The following is a 16,935-nucleotide window of genomic DNA, read 5'->3' on the forward strand; positions in this document are numbered from 1 at the left end:
ATAAGGGTGGGGCCCTGACACAGCAGGGTTAGTGTCCTTGTGCTGTAGGGCAAAACGGGGTTGCTGCCCGATGTGCTAGAAGCCAATCTTATGATGCTGAGTTTTTGAGAAAATAAAACCTTTGTATTGAAACTCAGCTCCCAAGGAGACAGGAGACAAGCTCAAGTCTGTCTCCCGGTGCTGGAATACTTCAAGGCAGTGTTTTTTATTTATTTACTTTTTTTTGTTTTTTTTTTTTTGAGACAGAGTTTCACTCTTGTTGCTCAGGCTGGAGTACAGTGGCACGATCTCGGCTCACTGCAACCTCCGCCTCCCAGGTTCAAGCGATTCTCCTCCCTCAGCCTCGAGACTAGCTGGGATTACAGGCACCCGCCACCATACCTGGCTAATTTTTGTATTTTTAGTAGAGACAGGGTTTCACCATGTTGGCCAGGCTAGTCTCGGACTCCTCAAGTGATCTGCCCACTACGGCCTCCCAAAATGCTGGTATTACAGGCCTGGACCACTGTGCCTGGCCTCAAGGCAGTATTTTTATTAGGAAAGGTCCAAGGGGTGGATTCTGGGATCTGTAGGTGATTGGCGGAAGAAAGTGGAGGTCTGGAAAGTCCTTAGGCATGTGCAGTCACCTCTTCATGCTACCTCGTGTGTCACATGTGCAAATTCAGGGGGCGATTCAGGCTGCGACGTTGGCAGGCGGGTTCTGCACGGACTCCAGCCGGTCCCCGGGGCTGCGACTGACTTCAGCCCATTCTTTCATCTCATGGGCAGAGGAAGCTTCAGTATTCCAGCCAGCTGTTTCCTTTCTCATCTGCCACCCTGCAAACTCAAGAATTTCTGCTGGCCGTCTGTATCTTTGACTCTTGGGGGCACGGTTTTACTTACAAGAGAAAGACACCATGGAGCCCGCACCCTCTCTCTCTGCCGTGTGAGGACGCAGTGAGAAGGCGGTGTCTGCAGACCAGCAAGGGAGGCCTCCCAGAGCCCTGCCATGCCACACCCTGAGCTTGTGAGAAATGAGTGTGTGTGGTTTCAGCCACGCAGTCCATGCTGCTTTGTTAGGGCAGCCGGAGGTGACCAACGTGGCTGTCAACCTTTGCTTCCCCAACCACCTCCACTGGTTCCTACCCCTCTCCTCCTTGGCCCACTCCCCTCCAGCTCCCAGCCAGGCCACCCCCCTGAGGCTGCAGAGGCCAAGATCACCAAGAACCTCCCATGGCCAGAGCCCCTGGGATATCCCTTGACTGGAAATAGCATCATACATGCCACACTCAGAGGACTCTCCAGCCTGACTCTGACGACCCCACTCTGACGCCGCACACCCCCAACTCCCCAGCTAAATCCCTCTCCAGCCTCCCAAGTTCCATGAATGACAGCTCCACCCTCCCGCTGCTCAGGCTACAAACCTGAGTCACCCTCGACTCCCCTCTCACTCTCAATCCAATCCATCAGCAATTCCGGTGCCCCCAGTGCTCCCACCCCACCACCATGAGGGATGCCCTCCCCTCGCCTGCCCACTGGATGGCTACAGTCTCCTCCTGCTGGACCTTCTGCTTCTACCGTTGCCCCCTCCTCTCTGCACAAAGGGTGGCCCTTTTAGAGCCCAGGTCAGGGCATGTTTCCCTCTGCTCCAACCCTGACACTTCCCAGGGGCACTCAGGGACCGCCAAGCCCTCCCGCGGCCACAGCGCCACGCAGGCCCCAACTCTGACCTCTCTAACCAGCGCTCCCACTTTCCTCCTCCTCCTCCTGCTCTTCCTCCTCCTCCTCACCAGACATGTGCAGTCACTGAGCCCCTCGCCCCTTCCATTCGCCACTACTGCCCCAGCAACCCTTCCCCAGATGACCGAGATGACCACGGTGACCTCCCCACAGATCTCCTTCCTCCCTCTTCCCCCCCCTCCTCATGGCTCCAATCCAACATCCACTGGAACCATGAGCTTCTGGCAATGCCACGTCACCCTGGCTAGCCCCTGTCTTAAACCCTTCAGGGTTCTTCAGAACTCTCAGGACAGAGCTCAGACTTCTGGGTTCTCAGTATATGGTTTTGGGTCTCCTGTCCCACAGCTTCTCCTCTGGAACATAAGCTTTGCAGGGGCAGGGAACGCACCCACCTTGCTCTCTGTCCAGAACCCGGTGCAGGGTCAGCGGTCTGAAAGGCGTGTGAGTGGATAAACTCAGTCCTTTCTGCCCCAGCCTCTCATCTGACTCACCATTCCCTCTGTCTGGTGAGAAAACTCCCCACCCTTCTTCGCTTTGCTAACTCCTTGTTGGCCTTCAAAACTCAGCTCTAGGGACACTTTCTTTTTTTTCTTCTTTTTTTTTTTTTCTTTTGAGACGGAGTCTCTCTGTTGTCGCCCGGGCTGGAGTGCAATGGCACAATCTCAGCTCACTGCAACTTCCGCCTCCCGGGTTCAAGCGATTCTCCTGCCTCAGCCTCCCAAGTAGCTGGGATTATAGGTGTCTGCCGCCACGCCTGGCTAATTTTTTGGTATTTTTAGTAGAGACGGGGTTTCAACATGTTGGTCAGGCTCGTCTTGAACTCCTGACCTCAGGTGATCCGCCCACCTTGGCCTCCCAAAGTGCTGGGATTACAGGCATGAGCCACCGTGCCCGGCCTCTAGGGACGCTTTCTTCTAGAAGCTTCCCTTAATGAAATGACCTGTGTAACCTAACGTGTTGAGCATCTCATGAGAGTCAGGCAGTGTGCTGAGGTGTTGGGTGCTGTTTCAAATAACTCAGAGCCTGGATCTACCCAGGCCCTCTAATTCGAATGAGTTCCCCTGATTTGGAAGTTCAGGATGTGGATCCTCAGGCAGGTGTCTTGACAAAAACTCTCCAGGTGATTTTGCTGCACCCCTGCCGCCTGTGTCCCGAGAAGAGCCAATCTAGGAGTTGGAAGACCCACTGCCCTCTGAGCGCTGGCTGTGCCAGGCACATGTGAGATGCAGTGCTCAGCTCGCCTCTGACCCGCACACCCCATGCGGTGATAGGTGCCATTATTATTCCCATTTTATAAGATGAAAAAACTGGAGCTTAAAGGAGTTACTTGCTCCATGTCACGCAGCTGGGAAGGCACAGAGCCTTGTGCAGCAAGAAGGGATCTCAGGGCCCATTGAACCCAGGGATTCCCCACCACGCTGTATGAGAATCACCTGGGGAGCTTTGAAAGCACTCCACCTGGAGCTTCTGATTCAGCCCACACTGATATTCTTTCCCCCCCGGGGAGTCTCATGCTCTGGCAGAAATGAGAGTCGTTGACTCATCCAACACAGTGGTTTTACAAGTAGGGAAACTGAGGCTGAGAGAGTCCAACTGGCTTGTTCAAGTCACACAGAGTTCTCGATGGAACAAGGATTCAGATGGAGGTCCTTGTGGCACCCCATCCAATGTTCTTTCCAACGTACCAATGTTTTCCCAGTACCATTACTCCTTTCAGAGAGGCTAGAGGAGGCTTCCCTAACCAAAGCCATAGAAACCCAAGCCATGGCCAAGTTTCAAGGAAATGTGACCCCAGGCAGGGATCGCTGAAAAGCAGTTCCACCCAGCCTGGCATGAGGAATCACCACCCTAGCCTAGAAGAAAACAAGAAGGCTTTCTCCAGGAGGAAGCAAACCCAAACTACTCTCCAGTGCCATCTAGTGACAGAGAGAGGGGCCACCAGAGCTTTTCGCAGCCCGAAAGGACAGAACTGTCACAAATCCACACCAATGGAGCGTTGGAGATGTCTGGGAGGCAGCAGGACATGGAGGAGAGTCCTCAGATCAGAGGTTCCAGGGGATAGAGATGGTCAGAGAATTGTCACCAAGGAGGTGGGACTTGAAAGGTAGGAATTCACATTAAAGTATTTTACTGAGAAAGAGTTAGGTGTGGTGATTCCTCAAAAAATTAAACACAGAATTACCGTGTAATCCAGCAATCCCACTTTGGTAAATGCCCCAAAGAATTGAAAGCAGGGACTCCAACAGCTATTTGCTCATCCGTGTTTAGAGCAGCAGTCTTCACAACAGCCAAAAGCTGGAAGCAACCCTAGCGTCCATCTATAGATGAATGGGTAAACAAAATGAGGTCTATCCACACAATAGAATATTATCCAGCCCTAAAAAGGAGGGAAATTCTCACCTTTGCTTTGACATGGGCGAACCTAGAGGACATTATGCTAAGTGAAATAAGCCAGTCATAAAACGACAAATACTGTATGATTTTACTTACATCAGGTGCTGTGGTTTCAATGTGTTTCCCAAAAAGTATATGTTGGAAACTTAATCCCCAGTGCAGCAGTGTTGGGAGGTGGGGCTGCCTGATGGGAGGTGATTAGATCATGAGGTCCCTGCCCTCACAAATACATTCATGAAGATATTCATGAATGGATAATGTTATCGTGGGAGTGGGTTTCTTATAAAAGAATGAGTCCAGCTTGCTCGTTCTTTCTCTCTCTCCCCCCACCTTCTCTCTCTCTCTCCCCCCACCTTCTCTCTCTCTTTCTCTCTCTCTCACCTTTCTGCCTTCTGTCATGAGATAACACAGAAAGAAGGTGATATGGTTTGGCTGTGTCCCCACTCAAGTATCATCTTGAATTGTAGCTCCCACAATTCCCATGTGTTGTCGAGGGACCCACTGGGAGGTCATTGAATCATGGGGTGGGTCTTTCCCATGCTGTTCTTGTGACAGTGGATAAGTCTCACGAGATCTGATGGTTTTATAAGGGCGAGTTTCCCTGCACAAGCTCTCTCTTTGCCTGCTGCCATCCGGGTAAGATGTGACTTGCTCCTCCTTGCCTTCCGCCCTGATTGTGAGGCCTCCCCAGCCATGTGGAACTGTGAGTCCATTAAACCTTTTTCCTGTATAAATTACCCAGTCTTGGATATGTCTTTACTAGCAGTGTGAAAACGGACTAATACGAAAAGCATTAGCCAGATGCCAACACCTTGATCTTGGACTTCCCAGGCTCCATAACTGTGAGGATATAAATTTATGTTCTTTCCCTCTTGTTGCCCAGGCTGGAATGCAATGGCACAGTCTCGGCTCACTTCAACCTTCGCCTCCTAGGTTCAAGTGATTCTCCTGCCTCAGTCTCCTGAGTAGCTGGGATTACTCGTGCCACCATGCCCGGCTAATTTGTGTGTGTGTGTGTGTGTGTGTGTGTGTGTGTGTGTGTGTGTGTGTGTGTATGTAATTTTAGTAGAGACAGGGTTTCACCATGTTGACCAGGCTGGTCTCAAACTCCTGACCTCAGGTGATCCACTTGCCTCAGCCTCCCAAAGTGCTGGAATTACAGGTGTGAGCCACCACACCCGGCCAAATTTACGTTCTTAATAAATTACCTAATCTACGCTATTGTGTTATATGTTATAGCAGCACAAAACACACTAAGACATGAAGTACCTAGAATAGTCAAATTCATAGAGACAGAAAGTAGCATTGAGGTTTACCAGGGGCTGGGGAAGGAGTGGGTAGAGAGTTTCAGTCTGAAAGATGAAAAAGCTCTGGAGATGGGTGGTGGTGATGGTTGCCCAACAATGTGAATGTACTTACGTCCCTGAACTGTGCACTTTAAAATGCTTAAAATGGTGAATTTTGGCCGGGCGTGGTGGCTCACGCCTGTAATCCCAGCCCTTTGGGAGGCCGAGGCAGGCAGATCACGAGATCAGGAGATCGAGACCATCCTGGTGAACACTGTGAAACCTCGTCTCTAATAAAAATACAAAAACATTAGCCAGGCGTGGTGGCAGGCACCTGTAGTCCCAGCTACTCGGGAGGCTGAGGCAGGAGAGTGGCATGAACCCGGGGGGCAGAGCTTGTAGTGAGCAGAGATCGCACCACTGCACTCCAGCCTGGGCAACAGAGCGAGACTCCATCTCAAAAAAAAAAAAAGGTGAATTTTATGTTAGGTATATTTTATCACTATCTAAAAAGAGGAAGAGAGTCAGATGTAAGGCCCAAAGTGCCAAGTCAGACTGAATTGAGTATCACGCCCCAGAATGGGATGGTCATTTATTTTTCACTCATTCATTTATCCATTCACCAGCAAATACTGACACTGTGACATACCAAGGACCGTTCTGGGTGCTGGAAATCTGACATCAAACCAAACAGACAAAATTACCTGACCTGGCAGAGCCTACAGTCCAACAACAACAATGAACAAATCAAGTAAATGCCTAGCATGGCAGCTGGTGACACCTGCTGTAGAGAAAAACAGAGGGAGGGGGCTGCTATTTTATTTTAACTATCAAAATCTGTTTAGTAAAGACAATTTTGCTCATACAAAACAAAAGTTTACAACAATCTGGCCAGGCAAGGTGGCTCACACCGGTAATCCCAGCTCTTTGGGAGGCCGAGGCAGGTGAATCACTTGAGGTCAGGAGTTCAAGACCAGCCTGGCCAAATGGTGAAACCCCTGTCTCCACTAAAAATGCAAAAATTAGCCGGGTGTGATGGTGGGCACCTGTAATCTCAGCTACTCGGGAGGCTAAGGCAGGAGAATTGCTTGAACCTGGGAGGTAGAGGTTGCAGTGAGCCAAGATCGTACCACTGCATTCCAGCCTGGGTGACAGAGTGAGACTCCGTCTCAAAAAAAAAAAAAAAAAAAAAAGTTTACAACAATCTGAGTGCTGGACACATCATCCGAGACAAGGGAGGCATTGCAGGCACCTAGAGCCCTTCCCCTATATGCAAAGGAGACCCTGGGTGCCCCTCTGCCACCTGCCCCTGAGGGAGAGAAAAGCTGAAGTATTCCTGCTGCCTCTTCCCCCAAAGGGAAGAGGGAGCCGGGAATGATGGCACAGGGACCCTGTCTCTAGCTGCTCCTTCTCTGTGCTGGGGGAGGCCCCTCCCCTTACTTGCCCAGAACCCTGAGGCTGAGCCGTTTGAGGGTGATGGCAAATGGCTGATGGGCAAAGGGGGCAAAGTTGGGACATCTTCGGTGCAAAGACTCCTCCCATCCCCAACCAGGTCACACAATGGAAATTTGAGGGAGGACCTCAAAAGTGGCCCTGCCTTTGCCCACAAGGGGTAGCTGGCTGATGTGTGCTGTTATTTTAAATAGGGACAGAAGGAAAGAGCTTTCTGACTTGGTGACATTGGTGAAGGCAGTGAAGGAGTGAGCCCTGGGTGTTGGGGAAGGGTGCACAGGCCCTGGAGGGGAGCCCGCTCTGAGTGCTGGGGCAGGGTGAGGCGGGACAGAGTGGGCAGAGAGATGGCCAGGACTGACCACGCGGGGCCTTGCTCTCCGTTGTGAGAACACCGGCTTTCCCCACGGGTGAGATGAGAGCCTGAGTGGGATTGGGCAGAGGAGAGGCATGATCAGACTTAGAATTTCACAGGGTCATCCAGGCTACTCTGAAAGGATGGACTCAGGGGCACAGGAAGAAGTAGAAAGGCCAGTTGGGGCCACTGTCAAAACCCAGGCAGAGATGATGGGAGCTTGATGAAGGAGCAGAGGTGGCCGGTGAGGAGGGCTCGATTCTGGGTCTGTGCCAGAGGAGGAGGCATGGGGTTTTCTGATGGCTTGGGTGTGGATGAGAGAAAGAGGGGTCAAGGATGACTCCCAAGCCCTTGGCTTTTGTCCTGAGAATGTGGAAGGATGGGGCTGCTCAGTGACTCAGATGAGGAAGACAGAAAGAGGTGCAAGTCTGGGGAGAGAAGAATCAAAACGCGCTTTTGAACATATCAAGTCTCATCCAGCGACCCAGCCTGGGCCTCAGTGTACCCACCCAACCCTGCCCTCCTCCCTTAGACGCATGCATCCACCCCGTTTCTCCCTTTCAGATATCTCCAGACTTCCAGTGTTCAGCAGGACCTGGGGTGTGGCCGCAAAGTTCCCTTTATGTATTTGGAGCCCAAGGAGGGCCTGTTACTGTGAAATGAAAGCACTTCCCTATCTGCCCCCCACCCCAGGGCCTTTGCCAGCTGCTCCACATTAGTTAAGCGCTTACTACCTACACTTTGGGGATTGAGGGTTTCTTTAGCTTTGAGACTGGGAGGCAGCTTAGCAGTGTAGACAGTTAGCTCATAATTCCTGCAGGGGTACAAGTGCCAAACCAAGTGCTATGATCCCTGGAGAGGCAGCCTCACCCACGAGGGCCTGGGGGCCTGAGTTCAGATCCTCACTCTGCATCTAACAAGCCGTATTGACCGGGGAGGGTCACTCAGCCTCTCCTGCCTCAGTTTCCTGATTCGTGTAACAGGGATAACATCAGCTGGCTTCCCTTGACACACCATCTATTAAACTGATTGATATGAATAAAGGATTTAGAATAGGGTCTTGAAGAAGGCGGTGCTGGACCCACGGACAGTGGCCAATGGGTATTGTTTGTCATCATCATCGTCACCATCACCATTGCTTTCGTCATAATCATCACTGTCACCATCATCAGCGTTCAGAGGAAAGGGGGTGTAGAGGGTCGTGTATCACCCAGAGGTGGATCTTGAGTTAAGCTTCGAAGCAGAGCAGGAGCCAGCTGTGCACGATGATGACATTAACAGCCGGCACTTTCCTCTGTGTTTTACACGCATGACAACGGGTTGACAGAAAAAGAGAGAGCTGGGCATCAGCCAAACAGAAAGTTGTGCACGGAAATACAGAAAAGGACTCGGCGATATTTATGAGCCCATGAAGTACAGAAGTAGTTAAGGATTGGAGTTCCAGTAAGAGCGCATCGCATGCCAGTCTTATCGTGCCTTGCTTTCTGGAATGATGAGACTCCCCTTCTCCCCTCCCCCCTCACCCACTCTGTCTCCCCCTGCCTCCCACCCTCCTACCTCCCCAAACTCTCCATGGACTGTTTAGGCCTTAACAACTCTGGAGAGCTATTAGGATCTATCAAGCGAACAATAATTTACTTCACGAAGTGATGTGTGTGATTTTCACCATTGACTCTAATCGCAACAGAAAATCATTTCAGTCGGCTGAGTGCATAATCTGTGTGTGCTGAACTTCTCTAAGCTTGGACTTACCTAAGGGAGGAAAATGGTCCCCTGGGACCCACTCAAGAGACGCGGAGTAAACAGCGTGCATTTCGTAAATGGGCTGGGGGTGTGCCAGAACCATCGCCGGGGACCCACCGCTGTCAGCCTAGAAGGCCATCGAACACTCAGAAACCATCTTCACAAATCCTTCTAGGGTGAGGTGGGGGGGTGAGGAGTCAGGGGTCGTGCACCTAACCATCAAAGACAGTGTGGATGTCCTGCTCATCTGCCACCGGGTGGCGCAAAGAGAAAAGGAGAGCAGACAGAGCAAGGAGGCACGTGTCCTTCCTCCTCCATCACATCTGCAGACTGAGCCCAAGCATCGGGAGCCATGTGGCCAGGCAGAAATGGGAAGTCATCTGTGCCCCTTGCTAGCGGACATGGTCCCAGGGACAGGTCCTGTCCTGTCCTGAGGCTGGAACTTCAGGAGTCCCAGGCCAATCATCACGCTACCAACTTGAGGAGCTTGAGATTTTCTAGTTTAGAAAGCAGGTACACAATTGTACATAGAGCACCAGCGTACCCAGGTATAAAGAAAGAAATATGCCAACCTGTTGGCCGTGGCTACCTTTCAGAGACTGGATTATGAGTTTTAGTATTTTCTAAAATTTTCTACAATGAATATGCAAGTAATAATAATAATATAAGATCTTACAAAGAAAAAAGTCTCAAGATTCCACTCTGACCATGTGTCCAAGTTCTAGCAACAAAATTAATGCCTAGGGAATGCCATGGCCAAGTCCCATCAGGACAGGGACTTACTTCACAACATCAAGAGATTTTAGTAAAAAGTGCAGGGGCCAGGGACAGTGGCTGTAATTCTGATGCTTTGAGAGGCCAAGGCAGGAGGATCGCTTGAGCCCAGGAGTTCAAGAACAGCCTGGGCAACATAGTGAGATCCCTGTCTCTACAAAAAAAAAAAATTGTTTTAGATTAGCTGGGAATGGTGGCATGCACCTGTAGTCTTAGCTACTCAGGAGGCTGAGGTGGGAAGATAGCTCGAGCCCAGGAGGTCGAGACTGCAGTGAGCTGAGATTGCACCACTGCACCCCAGCCTGAGCAACAGAGCAAGACTCTATCTCAAAAAAGATGGGGGTTGGGGAGCAACAGAGCAAGACTCTATCTCAAAAAAGATGCAGGAAAAAGAGCACAGAGTGGAGAAGCAGAAGAGATTCTTAAGTTCTTGTCCTATAGGTAAGAGCTAAAACAAGTCACTTGCTGACCTAGAGTCTCAATATTCATGTCCCTTGACTGCAGGCAAAAGCTGGCCTCACCTCCTATGATTAATTGACACTTGTTGCTTCTCCCTGCTCGGGTTCCTTCCCCTTTCCTTTGCTGCCTGCTGCTGTCCTGCTCTGTGTAATTCGGCGTGGATGTCCCTGCTTCCCCCAGGTCAGGCAGGCTCCTGAGCAGCCCCCAAAGCACAGATGTAGTGCCCGATGGGGTGGGGAGGGGATGGCAGCCTGGCAGAGCTGAACACTTGGGGAAAGGGAATTTCTCTCCTTTGGGGCACTCAAGCACCGAGGGTCATGGAAGCCGGGAGCTGCCATGTTGCACAGAGTAAGTCTGTCTGAGAATGAAGCCAGCTAATGAGAAAACAGAGCAAAGAGATGGAGAAACTGAGGCCTGGGGATGTCACTTGAGCCATGACATCAGCATAGCCAAAGCCAGCCCCAGCCTCTGAAAAAAAAAAAAAAAATTTGGCTGGGCGAGGTGGCTCACACCTGCAATCCCAAAGTGCTGGCCTTGACTAAGGCCAAGGCAGTCGGCTCACCTGAGGTCAGGAGTTCGAGACCACCCAGGCCAACATGGTGAAACCCTGTCTCTCTACTAAAAAAAAAAAAAAAATACAAAAGTTAGCCAGGCGTGGTGGCAGGTGCCTGTAATCTCAGCTACTCAGGAGGCTGACGCAGCAGAATCGCTTGAACCCGGGAGGTGGAGGCTGCAGTGAGCCAAGAGCACCACTGCACTCCAGTCTGGGTGACAGAGCGGAACTCCGTCGCAAAAAAAAAAAAAAAAAAAAAAAATTCCCAATTCCGATTCTGCTGTAAAGCCCCAGCCCCTTTCAGTTACCATTTACTGAGTGATAACTTTCCTCCTATTTCAGACCCAGCGTGGGTGGGATTTCTGCCCCCTTGCAACGGAAGCCTTCTGGGGCTGTGTAGGGCCGGCTCTGCCTGGAAGTGCAGATGCCGGAAGCCTCAACCAGAGGGAGCCAGCAGTGGCCTGCCAGCCGCATGCCAGCCCCAGTGGGCTCTGTTGCCTCCCATAGGATTAAACATTTGAGCCCATACTTTAATATCTGAATTTCATCTAAAACTCTAAAGAGTTTCAGTTTCTCTGAAAAAAAAAATCGGAAGATCTGGCAACACTGGGTCTAGGTCCTACGTCCTACCTAGAACAATGAGCAGGGGCTACACAGGGGCTGCCACCTTGGCTTGGAGCCTTTCATTCTCTGTCAGTTCCCTGCAACTCCCTATTTTCTCTCCAACGCTGAGGCTGGGTTTCAGCTGGCATTTGTAAAATTTTGGGGGGCTTGTATTTTTATAGGAGAAAATTTTTTCTTTTTGTCTACACCTCTGTCAACAATGGCATGGTGAGATGTAGGACTAGTGGCCCCAGTGGATCAGGCCACCTGGGTCCCTCTGTGGCCCTGCCCATGTGGACACTGGCCTGAGCCACGTGACTTGCTTTAGCCAGAGGTCCAGCAGCGCGTTAAACACACACACGCACTCATGCATGCATGCACTCACACACACATGCACTCACGCACGCACATGCGCGCGCACACACACACACACACACATGCACACCACACACGCTTGATGAACACTCTGTCCTCTTTGAACCCAGAATTTGGGGTCAAGATGAGAGACCATGTGGAGAGGGACTTTAGAGAGGAAGGGAGTGCTCAAAGAATAATAAGAACGCGTCAAAAACCAAGAAGCTGCTTTGGAAAGGTGACCACTGGCCAAATCTAGGACAATCTGAACATAAAAATAAATTATAGTCACAAAAAATTATACTCCATTGAATATAACAGGAAACCAGGAATCCATACAGATATAAAAAATAAATGAATGCACTGAGAATTTGGTGAGGAATGGAGATATTTGCAGAATTTCAAAGTACCTACCCACAAAATGGCAGAGAACATGAAAAAAGAATGACTTTGGCCGGGCATGGTGGCTTACGCCTATAATTTCAGCACTTTGGGAGGCCGAGGTGGGTGGATCACTTGAGGTCAGGAGTTCGAGACCAGCCAGGCCAACATGGTAAAAAGCCCATCTCTAATAAAAATTATCCAGGTGTGGTGGCACACGCCTGTAATCCTAGCTACAGGGGAGGCTGAGCCACAAGAATCACTTGAACCTGGGGGGCAGAGGTTGCAGTGAGTCTAGATCGTGCCACTGTACTCTAGTCTAGGCGACAGAGCCAGACTCCGTCTCAAAAAAAAAAAAAAAAAAAAAAAAGGAATGACTCTATAAGAGAGATGCTGGCAGACACCACTGTTGTCAAGTGATCAAAGTAAACATCAAGTGACAAATCGAAACCAAGCCCCACCCTATGGGAGGCAGTGAGAGAAACAAGGTATCCATTTGCGACAGTGCTGCCAGACTGCATAGTTGCTTGAGTAGGAGGAAGAGCAAACAAAGGGAATTGAGGAGAGGAAAAGAAAACGAATCGTTCGAAAGTGTTATCCTCCCAGGAGAACTGGAGATGTGTGCACCAGAACACCCGAACAGGGATGGTCACGGGAGCGTTACTCATAAGAGCCCAAGAGTCCAAATGTCAGCATCCAGCAGCTCAGCAGTGGACAGACAAGTTGTGGTCTAGCCACACGTTGGAATGTTATTTGGCAATAAAAAGGAATGAGGTACTAATACACGCCACACCATGGATGAATCATGAACACAAGATGCTAAGTGGAAGGAGCCAGTCACAGAAGACCATTTATACAAAATGTCCCAAATAGGCAAATCCGAAGAGATGAAAAGTAGATTTGTGTTTGCTTGGGGCTGGAGTGGAGGCAGGAGGAGGGGTGACTGTCAATGGGCGTGAAGTTTCTTTGGGGGCTGAGGAAAACGTTCAGATGGGGGTGATAACTATAGAACCCTGAATACACGAAAATGGAACTGTATCTGTAAAACTGTATACACTGGATTGTATGTATAAAAGGGTGAGTGTTATGGTATGTGAATTATCGCTCAATAAAGTTGTTATTTAAAATAGTAAAAACAAATTGTAGGTAGATTTAAAAGTTGAACTAGTAAAGTACTAGAAGGAAAACAAGCAGAACTTATCCTACGCGAAGGGTTGGACCAAGAGGATGGATGTGATCAGATGTTGTTCTGTATATTTTATTTGAGAGATAACATAGACGGTGAGGAAGCAAAAGGACTGGGAGGCGGGAGGCAGGACCGCTGCAGTAACCCGGGCAAGAAACAATGAGGGTCTGAAGCAAGGGGTAGCAGTGGGCCCTAAGAGGGAAGGAGAGAGACGAGAGGCATTTGGGAGCGAGAACTGAAGGGCCCTGGTGTTGAATGGGTGATCACAGGAGAAGAAAGACCTCCTTCCTTCCCATTCTTCCCATTCTTCCAACGCAGAGTAAGTGCCACTTCCTCGGAAGCCTCCCTGACTCCAAAGCTCGGTGGGGTTCCCCTCCAGGGTCCCCCCACCTCCATATCAGAGCACTGATCACAGGGACTGGCCATGGTCTCTACTGCCCTCTGGACAGCTGGGCAGCAGGACCTGGGTCCTGTTCACCATCAACCCCAGCACCCGTCAGCATTCAGCATGCTATGAATGTTCAATTAGTATTTGCTGAGCAAAAATGCGAATGGATGAACCAGCCTGTGATACTTGCCAGGTTTTGGCTTCTGAATTCATTCACTATGTTGGCCATTCTACCATGAATGTACTCCAGCTTACCCCTGAGACATGAAGGCAGCTGGGGTTAATGTGGAGCCTGCAGCCCATGCCTTCTGCTCCTGGGTCTGTGCTCCATGTGAGGTTAGAGGATGCCAAGGACTGAATGTGTGTGCCCCCCTCTAATTCCTCTGTTGAAGCCCTAATCCTCAATGTGATGGTATTAGGGGTGGGGTCTTTGGGAGATGATTAGGCCACGAGGGTGGAACCCTCATGAGTGGAATAGCGTCCTTAGAAAAAAGACTCCAGGGAGTTATCCAGCTCTTTCCACCCCATGAGGACACAGCCAGAAGACGGCCATCTGCAAACCAGGAAGGGAGCCCTCCCCAGATGCCAAATCTGCCAGCACCCTGCTCTTGGATTTCCCAGGCTTGAGAACTGCGAGAAATAAATGTCAGTTGTTGAAGCCACCCAGTCTGTGGTATTTTTGTCGTAACAGCCTGAGCTGATGGAGCCAGGGAGGCTGCATGGTCATGAGCATGCTGGAGGCTAGTAGGGAGCAAAGGAAGGGAAGACTGGGGTGGGTGTCAACCCCAGGTAGCCTATGTTTATCCCCGGCCACTGCTCCTCAACTTCATCCTGGAAACCCAGCTGTCACCTGTCAGGAGAGGCTGCTCTGTCTCCTCAGAGCATAGGGCTGCAGCCAAGGTGGCTCAGGGGTCCTCCTCTCCAGTTCCATCCCAGATGACTCAGATGCCATGGGCAAGTGTCCCACCTCCAAGCTCTTATGGCTGTAGGGCAGGGGCTGAGCTGGAAATGTCAGCAACACCAGGAAGAACATTCAGAATATCTGCCCCATGTGTCAACTGCTCACCACGTCCACGGTCCACTCCCGGGTCCAGGCCACCACCATATCTTGCCTGGATTGCTCTTAGGACCTCCTGACCCTGTGGCAGCTTCCAGTCTCACCCACGACAGCCGCCCCGTTTCCCGCACAGCGGCCTGCAATCTTTTAAAGACAAACATCATACCTTGACGTTCTCCTTCCTTACATTCTCCAGGGCCCCCTGGACAACTGCTCTCAGGATAAAATCAAAACCCTTCACCAGCGCATGAGGGTCTGCATGATCTGGCGCCCACATCTCCTTCCCCTCTCTCCCTCACTCACCAGGTTGCAGCCATGCTGGCCTCCTTTTCACCAAAGCTGCCAAGCCCTTTCCCACCCCAGGGCCTTTGCACCTGCTGTTAGAAGCACTCGAAGCTCGGCTGGGTGCGGTGGCTCATGCCTGTAATCCTAGTGCTTTGAGAGGCCAAGATGGGAGGATTGCTTTAGGACAGGAGTTTGAGACCAGCCTGGTCAACATAGCAAGACCCAATGTCTATTTTTTTATTATATATTTAAAATTTTTCTTAAAAAGAAGCACTCTATCTGCCCACTCCACCCGTCCACACCACATAACCCCCTCCATCTGCCGATCCCTGCTTGCTCCATCACACCACTCCCTCCATTCCTTCCCACATAGCAGCTTCCTCCACAGTGGTTGTTTCTACTTGTGCGTCGTTGCATCACTCCCAACCAGAAGCAAATCTGCATGAGCATGGGCACCTGAGCACGGGCACCTGTTCTGTCTTGTCCCCACCATTTCACCAGGGTCCAAGGCAGTGCCCAAGAAACAGTCCAAGCTCAATAAACACTCGTCAGGTGAATGAAAGAACCGAGAGCTGATCATATTTTATTACCTTTGTGATGCTTATCATCGTCTGACATGAGCTTGTTATGATTGATGACTGTGGTTCTCCTGTGATGAGAATGGAAACTTCAGGAGGCCAGAAACCTCATCTCCATTCCTGTTGTACCTCTGGCACCCAAAGCAGTAGCAGGCACAGAGTAGACCATTAACAAATAGTTGCTAGTTGTTGAGTGACTGTTGGTGAAATTTTATCATTTTATCAAATTCTTAAAAATATACATTTTTAAAAGCTGGGATACTATTCAAAAATCATCTCAGCAGCCTGGGTGTGATGGCTCATGCCTGTAATCCCAGCACTTTGGGAGGCGGAGGTGGGAGGATCACTTGAGGCCAGGAGTTCAAGACCAGTCTGGGCACTATAGAAAGACCCTATCTCTAAAAATTTTTTTTAATTAGCTGGGTGTGGTGGGCACCTGTAGTCCCAGCTACTCCAGAGGCTGAGGTGGGAGGAGCGCTTGGGCCCAGGAGGTCAAGAATGCAGTGAGCCATGAACACACCACTGCACTCCAGCCTGGGCAACAGAGCAAGATTCTGTCTCAAAAAAAAAAAAGGTCTCATCATATATTTTTTCTAGCTTGATCACATATGCACAAACACGTATCATTCTTAGTTCTTGTTAGAATTCTCCATTAACCGGCACTATGGATTTTAACAAGTTACTTAATCCATCCAGGCTAAAGGCATCATCTACAACATGAGATTATTCTAATACTTTATTTCTACGACTTCCTCCAGCTCTAATCTCCTATTATTCAATGTATTCTGCTTCATAGTACAAAGGGTTTAAGCCATACCCCAGTCCCAATGTACTGACTTCAGTTTCTGGGCATTCCTTACCCGTGGGTGGGTGTGGGTGCTTCCTGGGATACTTGATGGTATCCCATTAGTGTCAAGACCACATGGACATTCCCATGCAGAAATATTGGTGAAAGTCCTACAGCTGATCCAAGAGCCAGAAGCTCCGCAGGTCCCTGAGGAAGGAAGATAGAGACTCCCTCATGCTGTGCCACTCTGGAAATTCATTGGTCCAGATCAGTATCTGCTTTTTTTTTTTTTTTTTTTGAGATGGAGTTTCACTCTTGTTGCCCAGGCTGGCATGGAATGGCACAATCTCAGCTCACCGCAACCTCCGCCTCCCAGGTTCAAGCAATTCTTCTGCCTCAACCTCTCGAGTAGCTGGCACTACAGACAGGTGTGTGCCACTACGCCCAGCTAATTCTGTATTTTTAGTAGAGAAGGGGTTTCTCCATGTTGGTCAGGCTGGTCTTGAACTCCCAACCTCAGGTGATCCGCCTGCCTCGGCCTCCCAAAGTGCTGGGATTACAGGCGTGAGCCACCACGCCTGGCC

The 16,935-nt window shown here is 50.2% G+C and overlaps 1 annotated feature.

Annotated features, from left to right (window-relative positions):
• Positions 939-1,438: an enhancer, noted in NCBI's record as "H3K4me1 hESC enhancer chr22:45489639-45490138 (GRCh37/hg19 assembly coordinates)". NCBI's record gives its function as "activates a minimal SCP1, AML or CMV promoter by ChIP-STARR-seq in naive H9 embryonic stem cells {active_cell/tissue: H9 hESC(naive)}" and the evidence as "EXISTENCE:reporter gene assay evidence [ECO:0000049][PMID:30033119]".

The sequence above is a fragment of the Homo sapiens genome, chromosome 22 (genome assembly GCF_000001405.40).
Source record: "Homo sapiens chromosome 22, GRCh38.p14 Primary Assembly".
Lineage (NCBI taxonomy): Eukaryota > Metazoa > Chordata > Mammalia > Primates > Hominidae > Homo > Homo sapiens.